The 17,548-nt window shown below is 38.7% G+C and overlaps 1 protein-coding gene across 36 annotated transcripts in view; it reads right to left on the reverse strand.

Annotated features, from left to right (window-relative positions):
- The window catches only part of INPP4B (inositol polyphosphate-4-phosphatase type II B), an 823,376-nt gene that overhangs the window by 409,214 nt on the left and 396,614 nt on the right, over positions 1-17,548 (reverse strand). The window lies entirely within an intron of this gene.

A 17,548-nucleotide genomic window follows, 5' to 3' on the forward strand; every position in this document is an offset into this window, starting at 1 on the left:
TTAAAAAAATCTGGCAGAAATTAAATTCAAAACGCTTCTTGAATTTTTAGAAAATAGTATAATAAAATTATAGATAAATACATATTGGCTTCTAAGGATACAATCAAGAATATTTCTGGGGGTAGAAGGCTATTGCACCATCAATTAGACCAAATCCATCAATTTGAACATTATGTTTTGAATTAATAATAAAGCTTGAACAGCGATCATGCTTCCTAATTTTTTTTACCATTAAATTTAGAAGTCTTTTCTGATAAGAACACACACATTCATAGCACCACGTTCTCCCAAAGACCTATGACAAATGCTAATAGTGAGATAATATCTGTAGCAGACTGCAAGGCATGTGTGACTTGGACATGAGGACTATATAATTTGTTAATTTCTCTATATTTCTTGACCAAAGACTCAACCCACAATCCTGATCAGTCATCTTCAAATGTGAAAAGGAGGCAGTATGATGAATCCTAGCAAAATAACACCTCAGCACACTATCGGTGAATAATTAATGAAATAAATATCTAATTCTGTTTATCGGTATATGTGCACTTGTATAATTTGAGGATGGGAGGAGAAGACTGACGTAAGATGTCTACAAAGTCTCATTAATGTGGTCCCATTTTAAGCATACTATCCATGCAAAACTAATTCGCTAAGTGAAAATAAATTCAATTTTAGAGAGAATGAAGTTAAATATACAAAACAAGAATTATGAGATAACCTCTTGATATTCTGTTTATTTTCACTGAGGACAAACTGAAGATTTGGTACTTGTTATCCAAGTACACACTTCAGAAGGAATTAGTCACAAAGCTCAAGAAAGTAACTGCATTTTTAGCTGTTAAGTAGAGCATTTACCTATGGTTATGATAACATACAGCAGTTTATTTTCTGTGCCTACTTGCAAAATTTTTTCACAATAATAGATTGTGGTTGTTGTATACCACAAGCATACTTAAAAGAGATAGCTTTTAAGCATATTTCTACTCAGGCCAGTTCTCACATCTTTTATCTTACTCAGAAGAGGTACAAGCTGAATGGTCATCATACTCAGAAAATACTCTTGGTTCTCTCACCCTCCCCCAGGGACAAAAGATGATTGGTAGTTATAGTTCAGTTATATTTAATTGAACAATATTTCTCACTGACCACTACAATAACAGATATTTGTTAATATTTTGTACACTCACATTATAAAGGGCAATCTGACAGACACATAAAATCATACAAGAAGGTTATTATTAATTAGGAAGACAAGACTAACAACACACATCGAAAAATTGGAGACATTACATAATGAAGGGGCAAATGTGATGTGTTCAACATTAGTACAGCACTGTTCACTCACCAGTGATAGGTAAATCAAATAGCATCTTCGTGTCAAGATAGTGTTCTGCCAGCAAATTGCAGGTACAGGAGATTGGTGTTAAGGAGAATGCCCTTAGTTGTTATGGTTCCTGTTTAATAGCATATTTCAGGGACAGTGTCATATACCAGAGTTCTCATCAAATTTGAGATTTTTTTTAAAAAAGGAAATGGAGATTAAAAGAAATAAGATAAAGGGATTAAAATAAAAAGTACAGAAGATGAAAGGAGCAAAAAGAGGTGTCAGATTTCTTAGTGATTACATGTAAAAAATTGTAATGAGGGCAATCACTTTGCAAATATTAAATAATGCAACTTATTTACAATAGTCTTTACCTCACAATCATCTATAGAGACCGAGACGTGATATTTTTTAGTCCAGTGTAAAAAATGGCAAAACAAGTTTGAGGAAACAAGATGTGCTAAATCCTTTACCTCTCATTTAGTGAACTATGGTGATGTACCTGGATGGTCAAATTCCAAAATTTTTACATAATGAGCTGAAGACACTCCTGAAATCCATGAAGTTGGAATCAGAGGTAGACAAAGACAGGTGAGGGAGACCAAGTCAGGGTTCAGGGAGTGGTGCTCCTCTCTAGGACTTTAAATCCCAGAAGGGAGGAGAACTCACTGGTGGATGGCAAGTGGATGTCCTGTCTCCATTGCAAATATAGGAGGAACCATCTTTCAGGTTGTCCCTGTGGAAACATTGAACTTTCTACCGGGGGTGGAAGAGAGCCCATCAAGTAGATGGGCAGAGGGACAGGGCCTCAGTTTAAACCCAGCATTTCCCTCTGCTCCTCTCACTCATGGATAAGCCTGAGAAAAGACTACTGGCTCTCAAAGTGTGGATAAAAAGGAAGCTGAGCTGAGACCTAGCACATGTCTCTGATAAAAGGGATACGGTGACCCTGCAGCAGAGGTTATAGTGTTGGCTTTCTAGGCCAAGAAGCAGATAGAGGATATGGCCAAAACTCAGTAGGTTTTCTCTGCCATCTAGAGACAAGATGAGGCCTAGTTAGTCAGAAAGCATGAGAGAGGACAATCTATGCAGCAAGGGTGTCCAATCTTTTGGCTTCTCTGGGCCACATTGGAAGAAAAAGAATTGTCTTGGGCCACACCTAAAATGCACTACCAGATAGCTGATAAACTAGAAAAAAAAAATCACCAAAAAAAGGCATAATGTTTTAAGAAAGTTTACAAATTTGTGTTGGGCCACATTCAAAGCAATCCTGGGGCCGCAGGTTGGACAAGCTTAGGCTACAGGTTACTCCAGCCAGATGGGGGAGCAGTGACTGGGCCAGGATTGCTGTGTCTCAATGGACAAAAGCAAATATCCACCCAGTAACACATGAGACAAATGAGTTCCATTTGTCCCATGCCACATGGTCATGTGAGACCCTTTTCCTCACACAAGTGGCACTATCTTAGGAAAAGAAGCAGGGAAAAGGGGAGTTAGCATAAAGATACTTAAACACAAGTGTTTTCAACAGTAGTGGATAGGAAGTTAAAAACTTTTATTCATTTAGTTTTGTTTTGTTTTGTGCTCTCACTTAGTGAGTGCTTATCATGACCAAAATATGAAGGGAAAAAAAAGTCCTTTCAATAAGAATGAAACTTGCCATTCCTACCACAAATTTAATTTTTTTCTAGTTAAAATCATTTTTAATGAAATGTTTAAAAAATCCCTACATAGTTATCCCTTTAAGATAAAAAAAAAAGTACAGGAATTTATTTGGGGGAGGGGGGGTGGGGCCAAGATGGCCAACTAGAAGCAGTGGTGATCAGAGGCTTTCATCTAAAAGAAGCAAAAGAGCATACAAATCCTGCACCAGCAACTGAGGTATCCAGTTCTGTCATCAGGACTGATAGGTGGCTGGCATGACCCAGAGAGTAAAAGGAAGAGCAGTGTGGTGTGGCTGCCCACCTGAGAGCCATACGGGGAGGGGAGCCCCCATACCCAGACAAGGGAGGCAGGAAGTAAGTGTGCTATTCAGCCTGGGGAAACTTGCTTTTTCCAAGGAACTGTGCAACCCATAGATCGGAAGTTCCCACTCATGAACCCATGCCACTGGGGCCTAGGGTCCCAACCACAGAGCCATGCAGATTCTCAACAGCCACTTGGCTGGAATCTGCCTAAGTCAGCCAGGTTTCTGGGGGGAGGGGCGGCATCACCACTGCTGCTGTTGTTTGCTGTCTAAACCTTATGAGCTCCTTGGAGGAGGGGCAGGAGCCAACATTGCAGCTGCTAGCTACTTAATACACTAAGCTCCCAGTGGGGAAGGGCGGCAGCTATCACTGAAGCTCCAGGCCACACTTTACCCCTGCTGAAGCCAGGGAGGCTGGACGACTGGGTCCCGAGAGGTATTCTCCACAGCCCAGCACACAGGCTGTGGCAGACTACGGCCAGATTGCCTCTTCAAGCCAGACACTGACCCATCCCTCCTCACTGGGCGAGGCCTCCCTACAGGAACTCCAACAACTCCAGCCAGGTGCTCAGGGACAGAACTCTGATCTCCCTGGGCCTGAGCCCCTAGAGAAAGGCGTGGCAATAGTCTCTGTGAACCAGCAGACTTAGTCTTTCCTCCTGCTAGCTCTGTAGAATCCAGGCAGCCCAGAAGAGCAGGTTTCCCTCCAGTGCAGCACACCCCCTCCACCACGGGACAGCGAAAGTGCTTTGTTAAATGGGTCCTGCTTCCCATGCCACCCAACTGGGTGACCCCCCACAAGGGTCATCAGACACCCTATACAGGAGCATTCCTACTAGCATCAGATCGGTGCCTCTTGAGGTCTGAGATACCAGAGGAAGGAGCAGGCACCCATCTTTTCTGTTCTCCAGCCTCCTCAAGTGACATCTCCAGTTGTGGGAGCAAACCAGATGAATAGGGCCTGAAGTGAACCTCCAGCAAACCACAGCAGCCCTACAGAAGAGAGACCTGACTAGTGAAAAACAAACAAATAAAGCAACAACAAGAGCATCAACAAAAATGTCCCCACAGAAACCTCATCCAAGTGTCAGCAGCCTCAAAGATTGAAACTAGACAAACTCATGAAGATGAGAAAGAATCAATAAAAAAAAAAAAAGATGAAAACCCCAAAGGCCAGAGTGCCTCTTCTCCTCCAAATGATAGCAACACCTCTCCAACAAGGGCACAGAACTGGATGGAGGATGAGATGGATAAATTGACAGAAGTAGGCTTCAGAAGGTGGGTAACAACAAATTTTGCTGAGGTAAAGAAGAATGTTCTAACCCAAGGCAAAGAAGCTAAGAACCATGATCAAATGTTACAGGAGCTGCTAACTAGAATAAACAGTTTAAAGAGGAACATAAATGACCTGGAGCTGAAAAACACAGCACAAGAACTTTGTGAAGCATACACAAGTATCCATAGCCAAGTAAATCAAGCAGAAGAAATAATTTCAGAGATTGAAGACTATCTTGCTGAAATAAGGTAGGCAGACAAGACTAGAGAAAAAAAGAATGAAAAGGAACCAACACAACCTTCAAGAAATATGGAACAAAATCTTCAAGAAATATGAGACTAAGTAAAGAGACTGAACCTGCAACTGTTTGGAGTACTTGAAAGAGACAAGGAGAGTGGAACCAAGTTGGAAAACTTCCCCAACCTAGAAAGACAGGCCAACATTCAAATTCAAGAAATACAAAGAACCGCACTAAGATACTCCATTAGAAGATCAGCCCCAAGACACATAATCACCATATTCTCCAAGGTCGACATGAAGGAAAAAATATTAAGGGCAGCCAAAAAGAAAGGCCAGGTCACCTACAAAAGGAAGCCCACCAGACTAACAGCAGATCTCTTAGAAGAAACCCTACAAGCCAGAAGAGACTGGGGGCCAATATTCAACATTCTTAAAGAAAAGAATTTTCAACCCAGAATTTCATGTCTGGCCAAACTAAGCTTCACAAGCTTAGTTTAATGATAAAGGGGATATCACCACTGATCCCACAGAAATACGAACTACCATCAGAAAATACTATAAACACCTCTATGCAAATAAACTGGAAAATCTGGAAGAAATGGTTAAATTTCTGGACATATGCACCCTCCCAAGATTAAACTAGGAAGAAGTCAAATCCCTGAATATATCAATAACAAGTTCTGAAATTGAGGCAGTAATAAATAGCCTAGCAACCAAAAAAAGCCCAGGATCAGACAGATTCACAGCTGAATTCTACCAGAGGTACAAAGAGGAGCTGGTACCATTCCTTCTCAAGCTATTTTAAACAATTGAAAAAAGAAGGATCTCTTTAAGGAGAACTATAAACCACTGCTCAAGGTAATACAAGGGGACACAAATAAATGGAAAAACATTCCACGCTCATGGATAGGAAGAATCAATATTGTGAAAATGTCCATATTGTGCAAAGTAATTTGTAGATTCAATGCTATTCCCATCAAACTACCATTGACATTCTTCACAGAATTAGAAAAAAACTACTTTAAAATTCATATGGAACCAAAAAAGAGCCTGTATAACAAATATAATCCTAAGCAAAAGAACATAGCTGGAGGCATCATGTTACCTGACTTCTAACTATACTACAAGGCTATAGTAACCAAAACAGCATGGTACTGTTACCAAAACCAACAAATATAACAATGGAATATAATAGAGACCTCAGAAATAAGACCACACATCTACAAACATCTGATCTTTGACTACCCTGACAGAAACAAGCAATGGGGAAAAGATTCCCTATCTAATAAATGGTGCTGGAAAAACTGGCTAGCCATATGCAGAAAACTGAAACTGGACCCCTTCCTTACACCTTGTACAAAAATTAACTCAAGATGGTTTAAAGAGTTAAATGTAAAACCTGAAACCATAAGAACCCTAGAAGAAAACCTAGGAAATACCATTCAGGACATAGGCATGGGCAAAGATTTTATGATGAAATTGCCAAAACAACTGCAACAAAAGCAAAATTGACAAATAAAATCTAATTAAAGAGCTTCTGCACAGCAAAACAACAAAAAACTATAATCAGAGAGAATAGGCAACCTACAGAATGGGAGAAAATTTTTGCAATCTACCCGTCGGACAAAGGCCTAATTTTCAGAATTTACAAGGAACTTAGACAAATTTACAAGAAATAAACAAAGAACCCCAGCAAGACATTAAATGCCTTCTACATGTAAAGATGTTTGGTAGCCTAAAACAATTATTTATAAATTTCTTGTGAATAAATCACAGACATAAAATCTATAGATGAGTTAAACCTTTAGGGAATGCACACTGTGGGACCATGGGGTGCACCACTCAGATGTCTCATCAAGAGACCTGCTGTGAGAAATACAGGTGTCTGAGCCTCGAGCCTCCATGTCTGCAGAATACTCCAAGGTCCTCAGGGAAGCCATGTGCCTCCTAGATCGCTCCAAGTGCCTACACATGGCAGAAGTATTATAGTCAGGCCATTTCTGCCTGTTGCGGGATTTTGCTAACAAGCAATCTTTGTTCTGGGGCTCCCCATCAGCTTGGCCAAGACTTTCTTAAAGCTGTACTATAGTCTGAGGCTCTTCCTGTGTAATTCTCCCCCTTCCGTCTCTGTGTGGAAGTGTCATACAGGTGTATTACAGTCTGAAGATTCTCCCACCCTGCTCTCTCACCTTTATCCTTCTCAAGTGTCCTCCCAATAAATCTTTTGCATGTCTCATTTCATCTTGGCATCTGTTTCTGAAAGACCCAAACTGACACAAACACTTAGTAAACACTACTATGGGAATATATTCCCTCCTTCATGGATTCTTTCACATTTTATTAATTTATGTACCTATCTATATGTGTGTGTATTTATTTGGGCTGATTCTTGACAGAACAGAAATTCTGAGACATGAACAAAAGAATGCACAAAGTCAAGAGTTTAATCAATTTTTCCTCCTATGAAGCAGCATACAAGTAAGAAAGAAACTCTCTAATGTTGGTATTCCCTATCAGCTTCTAGCCAAAATTTAAAACTCTCTCTGAGCCAGTTATGGAGTTGAGTTGATGACAACCTATGATATCAAATATGCAGAAGAAACGGGTCACATTACACCCAATGGCTTTCTACATTCCATTCTATCATCCTCAGATACATTCCTAATTGACATACCTTCAAATTCTATGGGCCAGGTTTAAGTGCCACCTCATCCATGATGACTTCTCTTTCTTCAGCTGAAAGCAATACCATGCTCTCCTAAGTTCCCCTAGTAACTTATCTCACATAATTTATTACTGTTTATTTTCTACTTTATAGATATACATTTTTTCCTCTGCTTTTTAATAAAATAACTCTGTCAGAACGTAAATTTGATTCTCTTATTTCCCCATAGCAACAAGATTGATTCCAATAAGCACTAGATAAATCTATTCATCCATTTATTGTATAAACAAACATTTATTAAGAAGTCACCATGTGCAAGGCACTGAGCACACAGAAATAACTAACTTAGGATTGGCCTTTAAAAGAATTCAGTCTTAGTAGGAGGAAATCAAATGAATAGTTACAGTGGAATGTGATAACTGCCATGAAAGGGATATTATCAGAGTATAGGGCAGAAGGAAAGAGCACCAAATAAGGGCTCAAATAAATCCAGGATGACTGCATGGAAGAGGCTCCAGGAAGTGAACTACGTGAAGGGGAGAGTCCTGGCAATTCTAGGCCAACGGAGCAGCAGGAATGAAAGATGTGGGAAAATAAGAATATGACAAGTCAGAGAATTGCAAATAGTTCAGTTTGGCTAAATCCAAGATGTTGGTTTTCCTAATGTTTTTTATCCTGTCAATGAAATTTTTTCATATGAAATATAATGGCTTATATGTAAAACAGATAAAAGCAGAGCTGCTCTGTTTGGTGTGGGCTGGGAAATACAAGCCCTATTAACCCCCTGCCCGTCATTCACTCCTTGCCTTCACTTTTTCTCTCATGGAGCTTTAAAAATACATTCTTAGAACTCAATTTGAAAACTTTGAGTCTCCTTCTTTTTTAAAATAAATACATTTTATTGTGTATATTTAAGATATGCACATGACGTTATAAGATACACATATATGGCAAAATAGTTACTATGGTGGAACAAATTAACATATTCATCATCTTATTCATTTACCTATTTTGGCCCCTGTGGCAAGAGCAGCTATAATCTACTCATTTAGCAAAAATGCTGAATAAAATACTATTATTAAGCACTGTCCTCATGTTGTCCATTAGATTTTTGTGTGTATGGTGGTGGTTATTCCTTATCTGAGATGAGAATTGCTTCCAGAGAAAAACTAGCAAGACAAGCGGAGATCAGAGAAAAAGCTTGAAGGCCAGGCTAGAGAGAATAAGCTTAATTATGAGAGCAGAAAGAAGCCACATTAGATATACTTAAGCAAGAGAGTGACATGATCATACGTGAATTTTAGAAAATCCACTACAGTGTCAAAAAGTAAAGACTGTACTGAAAGGTGGTAGCTTGATAAGAAAAGCAACCTATTTAGAGGTTAATATTCAAGGAAAATAAAATAATAATGAGGGTTAAGCCAAGATAGAAGTATATGATTAGAGAACAGAATCTAGATTCTAAGTTATTAAATAGAATTACCTGATGTTGGTGATAGAATTAGATGTGATATCAGAGGTGAATTCATGCAAAAGAGAAAGATCATGCTACCTAGTAAATTACAAGCCACTAACCTATCAGGAGAGAATAAAAGGAATTTTAGTCAAGGATAGTTAATTTAGTTTTACTCATGTTGTTCTGAGGTGCCTTAGAAACACACATGGGTCTAAATTTTCTGGAGAAATATTAAGTCTAGAGAAGTATCTTTGGTTAAGTGTATTTGGCTAATGGTTAAAACCAAATAATTCATGAAGTCACTAAAAAAATGCATATAGTGAGAAGAAGAGAGGGCTGAGGAATTAATCTTAAGGTGCAAAAATATTTAAGGGGACAAGAAAAGAAGTTAGTTGGAAAAGGCATGGTCAGTGATGGGAGGAGCAGCAGGTAGGAAGAACAGAGGGAACAGTGTCATCACTCTACTTAGCTGATATTTCTCAAGCAGATAAGGCCACTGAGTTAAGAAATAGCTTTTTTTTTTTTTTTAATAATTGGGATACATAAGCACATTTAAATGCTGAAGTAACATGGCCAGAAAAGAGAGAGAGAGAGAAATAGAATTGAACATTAAGGAGATACAAGCAAGGCAAAATCCAGGTGGTACAATCCACTATAATTAAAGAAAGGAAGGTGAGTAGAAAATGATGCATGATCTGAAATTGATGATGCTCTTACCAATGGCTTTATTTTTTTTCTTAAATAAAAAAGCATATTTATGAACTCAATGTAGAAAAAGATTTTTCAACCCAACTTCAAAAGCATAGACCATAAGAAAAACATGGGCCAGGCACGGTGGCTCACGCCTACCTGTAATCCCAGCACTTTGGGAGGCTGAGGTGGGTGGATCATGAGGTCAGGAGTTCGAGACCAGCCTGGCCAACATGGTGAAATGCCATCTCCACCAAAAAATACAGAAATTAGCTGGACGTGGTGGCATGTGCCTGTAATCCCAGCTATATGGGTGGCTGAGGCAGGAGAATTGCTTGAACCCGGGAGGCGGAGGTTGCAGTGAGCCAAGATCATGCCACTGCACTCCAGCCTGGGCAACAGAGCAAGACTCCATCTCAAAAAAAAAAAAAAAAAAAGAGAGAGAAGAAAAAAATAAAAAGATGAATAAATCTGACTACTTTAAAATTAAATGTTCTGTGGGCAAAAGATGTCATAAAAAGTGAGGAAACAAACCACGGACTAGGAAAATATATTTGTCACATAGAAGGTACCAGTTTCCATTTAGGATGTACAAAGATATAAAAGAATGACTCCCACCCTAACTTCAAGGAAAACTTAAATGATGCATGAAATCATAAGTTTTCCTTAACTAGTAAAACAGATGAGGTCTCAGGGCAACCAACTAGTTGGATACCTAAGGAAATTTACATGTCTCCATGGAGCAGAGCATGGTAGGAAGATATGTCAGGCACTGTATTAGTCTGTTCTCACACTGATAATAAAGACATACCTGAGACTGGGTAATTTATAAAGAAAAGAGGTTTAATGGACTCAAAGTTCCATACAGCTGGGGAGGCTTCACAATCATGGTGGAAGGCAAAGAAGAAACAAAGGCACATCTTACATGGCAGCAGGCAAGGGAGAGCTTGTGCAGGGGAACTCCCATTTATAAAACCATCAGATCTCGTGAGACTTATTCACTACCATGGGAACAGTATGGGGGAAACTGACCCCATGATTCAATTATCTCCACCTGGCTCTGCCCTTGACACATAGGGATTATTACAATTCAAGGTAAGATTTGGGTAGGGATACAACCAAACCATATCAGACCTCAAAAAACCTGGTAATAAGAATTCAGCCAAAATATATAATGTCATCTGTGGGCTAGCATGAGAATATAACACTCCTGAGAGCCTTTACTCAAGAGTATTCTGCACTGACTAAAGGGTCTTCTTTATGGACCTCACCCAAATGCCCATGAGAATGATTGGAAGCAGAGTGGGTGCCTGGAGAAAGTGTCCCTTTGAGGTACATGCCTGCTGAAGGGGAACAGCAGTAATTGCAGGAAAAGTACAAAGACCCACTTGGATCCTCTTTCCTACAGAACAAAAATGACAGACCCTGCTGACCTTAGGTGAAGACTCATTGAAATTAGAAAGGGAGGAGCAGTAAATCTTCCTGGGATGACACCACTAGAGATCCTCTGATCCTTTATTACTATAGAGTGATCGGATCACTGAGAAAGTCCCACCCCAAGACCCAAGAACATCGGGCCTGTCTACAACCAAGCATGAAAGATGACGATAGAGAATGCCTCTGCCCCCGCCACCAGGCTGAGACACCAAGAAACAGGTGACAGAAGGCTACCTCCCACCAGAGGGGGCATGCAAGCACAAATAATGAACCTCTCTCAGGTAGAAACTTCCAAGAAAGCTTAAAGTAGAGAGTGGAGAGTGGAGAGCAGTCTCCAGGCATCTAAACCGCACTCTAAGCACAATTTAATATTAAAGTAGAATAAAGAGGGGAGGAAGAAGAGAAGAAGATAAAGGAGAGGGAGAAAGAAGAGGAAGAGAAGGAAAAGTGGGGCAGAAGAGGAGAAGGATGAAAAAGTGTCAAAAGCAAAAGCAAAAAAATAATATGTACATATATACCAAGAGACCCAGACTCAGATATTACCCAGGTATTAGAACTAACAGAAAGGGAATATGCTAAAAACTCTAGTGGAAAAAGTGGAGAAGTTGCATGACCAGATGGGGAATTTTAGCAGAGATAGAAGCTATAAGAAAGAATAAAACCAAAATACTAGAAATGTAAATAAAACATAATAACAGAGATGCAGAATGCCTTTGACAGGCTAACCAGTAGGTTTGACACAGGCAAGGAAATAATCAGTGAACTTGAAGATAGTCTAATAGAAATTATCCAGACTTATACATTTAAGTTCCTTGTAGATTTTTGACAGTAGACCTTTGTCAAATGGATAGATTGCAAAAATTTTCTCCCATTCTGTAGGTTGCCAACAAACAACCCCATCAAAAAGTGTGGGCGTAGGATATGAACAGAGACTTCTCAAAATAAGACATTTATGTGGCCAACCAACATGAAAAAAACCTCATCTTTACTGGTCATTAGAGAAATTCAAATCAAAACCACAATGAGATATCATCTCACACCAGCTAGAATGTTGATCATTAAAAAGTCAGGAAACAACAGATGCTGGAGAGGATGAAGAAAAATTTACACTCCCACCACACTGTTGGTGGGAGTGTAAATTAGTTCAACCACTGTAGAAGACAGTGTGGCGATTCCTCAAGGATCTAGAACCAGAAATACCATTTGACCCAGCAATTCCATTACTGGGTATATACCCAAAGGATTATAAATTATTCTACTATAAAGACACATGCACATGTATGTTTACTGCAGCACTATTCACAATAGCAAAGACTTGGATCCAACCCAAATGCCCATCAATGATAAACTGGATAAAGAAAATGTGGCACATAAACACCATGGAAGAGTATGCAGCCACAAAAAGAAAAAAAAGAATGAGTTTATTTCCTTTGCAGGGATATGGACGAAGCTGGAAACCATCATTCTCAGCAAACACACAGCCACGAAAAACCAAACACCACATGTTCTCACTCATAAGTGGGAGTTGAACAATGAGAACAAACAGACACAGAGAGGGGAACATCACACACCAGGGCCTGTCAGGGTGTGGAGGCCAAGGGGAGGGAGAGCATTAGGACAAATAGCTAATGCATATGGGGCTTAAAACCTGGATGACTGCTTGATGGGTGCAGCAAACCACCATGGCACATGTATACCTATGTAACAAACCTACACGTTCTGCACATATATCCCAGAACTTAAATTATAATAAAAAAAGAAAAAAAAATTATCCAGACTTAAACACAAAGAGTGAAAAAGCACGATAAGCAAAAAAGCATAAAAGAGATCCACAGTAGACTGTGACAATTCAAGCAGTCTAGTACATATGTTATTTGAATCTTAGAAGAAAAAATAGAAAAGAATAATTATTTGAACAGATAATGACTGAATTTGCAAAAATACTGAAAAACAACAAATACAAGAACAAAACGTCAAGAAAACTGGTGTGGCCACATCAATGTCAGACAAAATAGATTTCACATTAAGGAATACTAACATGCACATTATATAATTATAAAATGGTTAATTCATCAAGAAGACATTACGATCTTAAATGTGAATGTACCTAAAAATTTCATAACAGATGAAGCAAAAACTGACAGAAGTGAAATAGACAAATCCACAATACTTGAGGACACAAACATTCCTCTAATTGTCAGAGTAAACAGAAAATCAGTGAGGATATAAAATACTTAGACAACACTACCAACAACTTGACCTAACTGACACTTATAAAATGCTCTGCCTAACAATAGAGTACATATTTTTTCAAAGTGCTTATGGAATATTCACTAAGACAGCTTCTATGCTGACTCATAAAAGAAACCTTAACAAATTTAAAATAAATGAAATCATAACAAGTGCATTTTCTGACCACAAGGAGATTGAACTAGAAATAACTAACAAACATATCTAGAATATTTCAAAATATTTGAAAATTAAACAATATACTTTCAAGTAATTGATAAAGCAAAAAGAAAGTCACAAAGAACATTTATATTTATTTGAACCAAAATAAAATCACTAAACTATATATCAAAATATGCTTGGAGGAAAATTTGTTGTATTAAATGTTTATGTCAGAAAAGAAGGTCTCAAATCAATTATCTAAGCTTTTACTTCATAACTAGAAAAAGGGCAAATTAAATCTAAAACAAGCAGGATAAAAAAAATGTGTCATAAACATAGCTGATGAAGATTTATTTTCCAGAATATATTAATCATGTGAGCAAATCAATATAAAGTAAAAACAATGGGAAAAAAACTATCAATATATAAAAACAAGTAATTCAAATATATTAAACACAAATTACCCAGAAACATATTAAATGATTATCAACTTCACTAGTATCAGGGAAATGTAAACTAAAACCAAATTATATATAAAATATAACCATCAATAAGTAAATATTTTAGTTTCAAAACCTCAAATATTGATGAAGATTTAGAGTAACATAAACTTTTATAAACTGCAGCTACTCCAAACACAATGAAAAATAATTTGGTGATATCCAGTAAAGTTAAAAAGTAATTTCACTTCTAAGCATATAATGTAGATAAACTCTTACAAATGCATATCAAAAGATAATTAGGAGAATGTTCATAGCAAATCAAGTTCTAATAAAATATTGAAAACAGGCTAAGTGTCCATCAACAAGAAGGTAGATAATATTGTGATTTATTCATTCTTTACAGTAGAGAAAATGAGGAGCTCTTCATTTTATGAAGCAACATAGATAAACTTCACAAAGTACTGAGAAAAGAGGAGTGAGTGGCAGGAAGGCAGACAGAGAGAGAGACGATGGCACTTACAGACATTATTAAACACTGTAAAACAATACTCTTTGGTTCTATAGCTTGGTGCAAAAGTAATTGCTAATTTTGCCACTAAAAATAACCTAATATATTGCTTAAGGCTACATACACAAGAGGTACATTACAGAGAAATTAAGGAGGGGCATGATAAATGTGATCAGGGAAGGGAACAAGTATTCTTCAACTCTATCAGGAAAGTTTTATTTCTTAAAACGGGTAATAGGAAAAAAAGTTTTTCTTTATATCTGTTATGTTTTAAATAGTCATTATGAATTGAACTAAAAAGAGGCAGAGTCATGTGTTGAGAGGAAATTCTGAAGCAGTGCGGTAGGAGCAGAGTTTTGAGCTGGTTTCTATGAGCACTGGGTAAGGAAACAAGCAAGCATGTGTCAAGGAAGTTGTATGGATCTGGCAGGGCGTGGAGACCACAGATTTGTGGGGGCCTCAGTCTGACTGGCTGTGAGACTTTCTCCAGCAGTGCTCGGCAGCCTGGAGAAGAAGGACAGTATAGTGGACACAGTGTTGGGATTTTGCCTGCTACTGCAGTGAGAAAAGAGTGAAGCACAGAATGTAGCATTCACAATGTGACCAAAGGGTCTCTAGGCTGGATTGGGAAACCATTAAAGAAGAAAGATGTAATATATTTAATCTATTGGGAGATGAGAGAAGTATTCAGGTCTAAGTGATGAGAAGTGAGAAGTTCAGGGTACAGGCACAAAGTAAATAAGTGGCTGAAATGGAGTGGTGGTGTTAGTCTCTAGAGCCAGCAAGACAAAGAAACTATGCATCAATGGTGTTAGATGAGTAACTTGCATGAAAATTGAAATCACCCTGAAGGATCACAGTCACGGCCTGAGGACTAGGGAAAGACTGCGTGCCTAGTAGAAAAGTCTGGAGGACCAGGAGTTTGAACAATAAGCATAATAAATAGGAGTGAAGATATGTATAGCTAGGCATTTGTAATCGTAAATGAGATTATTACAACTTAAAGGGCATCTTGTGGCACGAGGAAAATGGTAACCCTGCCTCTGGGCTCTCTGATGTGTGGCCTGCCTACATGAGAGGAGGCAGCAAGGAGGTAGCCCTTATGAGAATAAAGCCAGGTTTCTATTAAGACAAAGAAACAAAGAAAACATTCCCCAAAGAAGTGGAAGGTGAAAAAGACTGTTTTTCATAGAAACAGAAGACTTCATGAACATTATGTTATATTTTAAAAGTGAGATGATTGGGAGAAGATAGTCATGGCCAACTAAGTCCATAGCAAAACAGGATAATACAATAGGGAAAGATAAATGACAGAAAGTGCCTGCAGTGTAGGTGGTATCTCAGGATGACAGGGATGTGAGGCATCACATGATTAGCTATATTCTTGGGTGCTGAATGGACCTCTGGTTAAATAGGTTTCCTGGCCTGTGCGGGCTGATGTCCAGGCATGGAGTGCTGGATGCTTGATGATGCTACACACCTATGGCCCTTGTTTTGGTTTCCAAACAGTGCTTAGATATAAAGTGCCGAATCAATTATTATTTCCTATCCATCTCCAAAAAAAAAAAAAAAAAAAAAAAACACCGAGCAAGTCTCAGTTACGCTGATGATGTAAACTTTCAATAGTGAAGCATTAAACTTGTTCACGTCACAACAATGTCACAACATTTCTGAAGCCAGGACTTCATTCTAGTAAACTAGATATATTTCACAATGTCAAATCACTTAAAAACCTTCTACACACCTGGAATTTGCAAGATAAGAGTGTGAATGGATAGGATCACACCTAGAAAATCTGGTTAAGTAAGGATCAGACAAATGCTAAATAATGTCAAGAAAAGGTAAAACCAGAAACACGATCCAGATGGGGATTTGCCTTTGTCTTTTCTGTTCCTTTCCTCTCACTGGGAACAAGGAAAACTACTTTGAAGGCTACCATCATTGTAGGACAACTATATTCAGAATTTTGCAACCAGGTCCCTGTGCCCAATAACAGGAATGTATCCTAATTTAACATCATCCAAAAGTAACATAAATAAATAAATAAATAAAGTTTCAGGAGAAAGGTTCTCTTTGTGGAAAATGGCATAAATTGGCAAATTCTGTATTTTACCTGAAAAAATAAGCATGTATTTAAAGGTTAAAGGCATGCTGGCTTCTCACGGAGACCCCTGACCAGGCAGAAGATAATTCCCGTCAGGGCAATGGATGTACATGCATGGATGGGGAAATGTTTCTGCCCAGGAAAACCAATCGCATCAGGAGACAATTGAATTCTCCAGGATGTCAGTATGGTTTTGCTAGCAATATTAAATTCAGTGAGGACCTGCTTTGTCACAATAAAAATAAAGATGAGAGTTGTCAGGGCTCCAGTATGACAAAATATCCTGAAGGCAACCATTCCAGCTGCAGACTAACACTGCAACTAGTTAGTGATGTTCTCCTCTTTACCGCGAGGAAGCAACACTGACAGCAAACAGACAGAGAAGACCCATGGATCTAGCAAGACCAAACAGTAACAGTTTGTAAGCGTATTGACACTTAAAATATGGTCCCTGGACAAGCAGCATCTGTATTACCCAGAAGCTTATTAGAAATGCAGAACCTTGAGCCACACTCTAGACTTACCACATTAGAATGTACATTTTAGGCCAGGTGTGGTGGCTCATGCCTGTAATCCCAGCACTTTGGGAGGTTGAGGCGGGTGGATCATGAGGTCAAGAGATTGAGACCATCCTGGCCAACATGGTGAAACCCTGTTTCTACTAAAAATACAAAAATTAGCTGGGTGTGGTGGCGCATGCCTGTAATCCCAGCTACTTGCGAGGCTGAGACAGGAGAATCGCTTGAACCTGGGAAGCAGGTTGCAATGAGTCGAGATCGTGCCACTGCACTCCAGCCTGGTGACAGAGCAAGACTCTGTCCCAAAAAAAAAAAAAAGAAAGTACATTTTAGCAAAGGTGATTCTTATGCACACTTAATCTTGACAAGCATCACATTAAGGCATAGAAGACCGCTTGGATTCTAGGCTCATAAATCAAAAGAGATGAATAGGGAATTCTGCCAGATAAAAAGCCAATGTGGGCTACAGGCCCACATTTACTTAACCAGACTTTCTAGACTATTGACTGGAGCTGTCCTGGATTCTA

This window comes from Homo sapiens, chromosome 4 (genome assembly GCF_000001405.40).
Source record: "Homo sapiens chromosome 4, GRCh38.p14 Primary Assembly".
Lineage (NCBI taxonomy): Eukaryota > Metazoa > Chordata > Mammalia > Primates > Hominidae > Homo > Homo sapiens.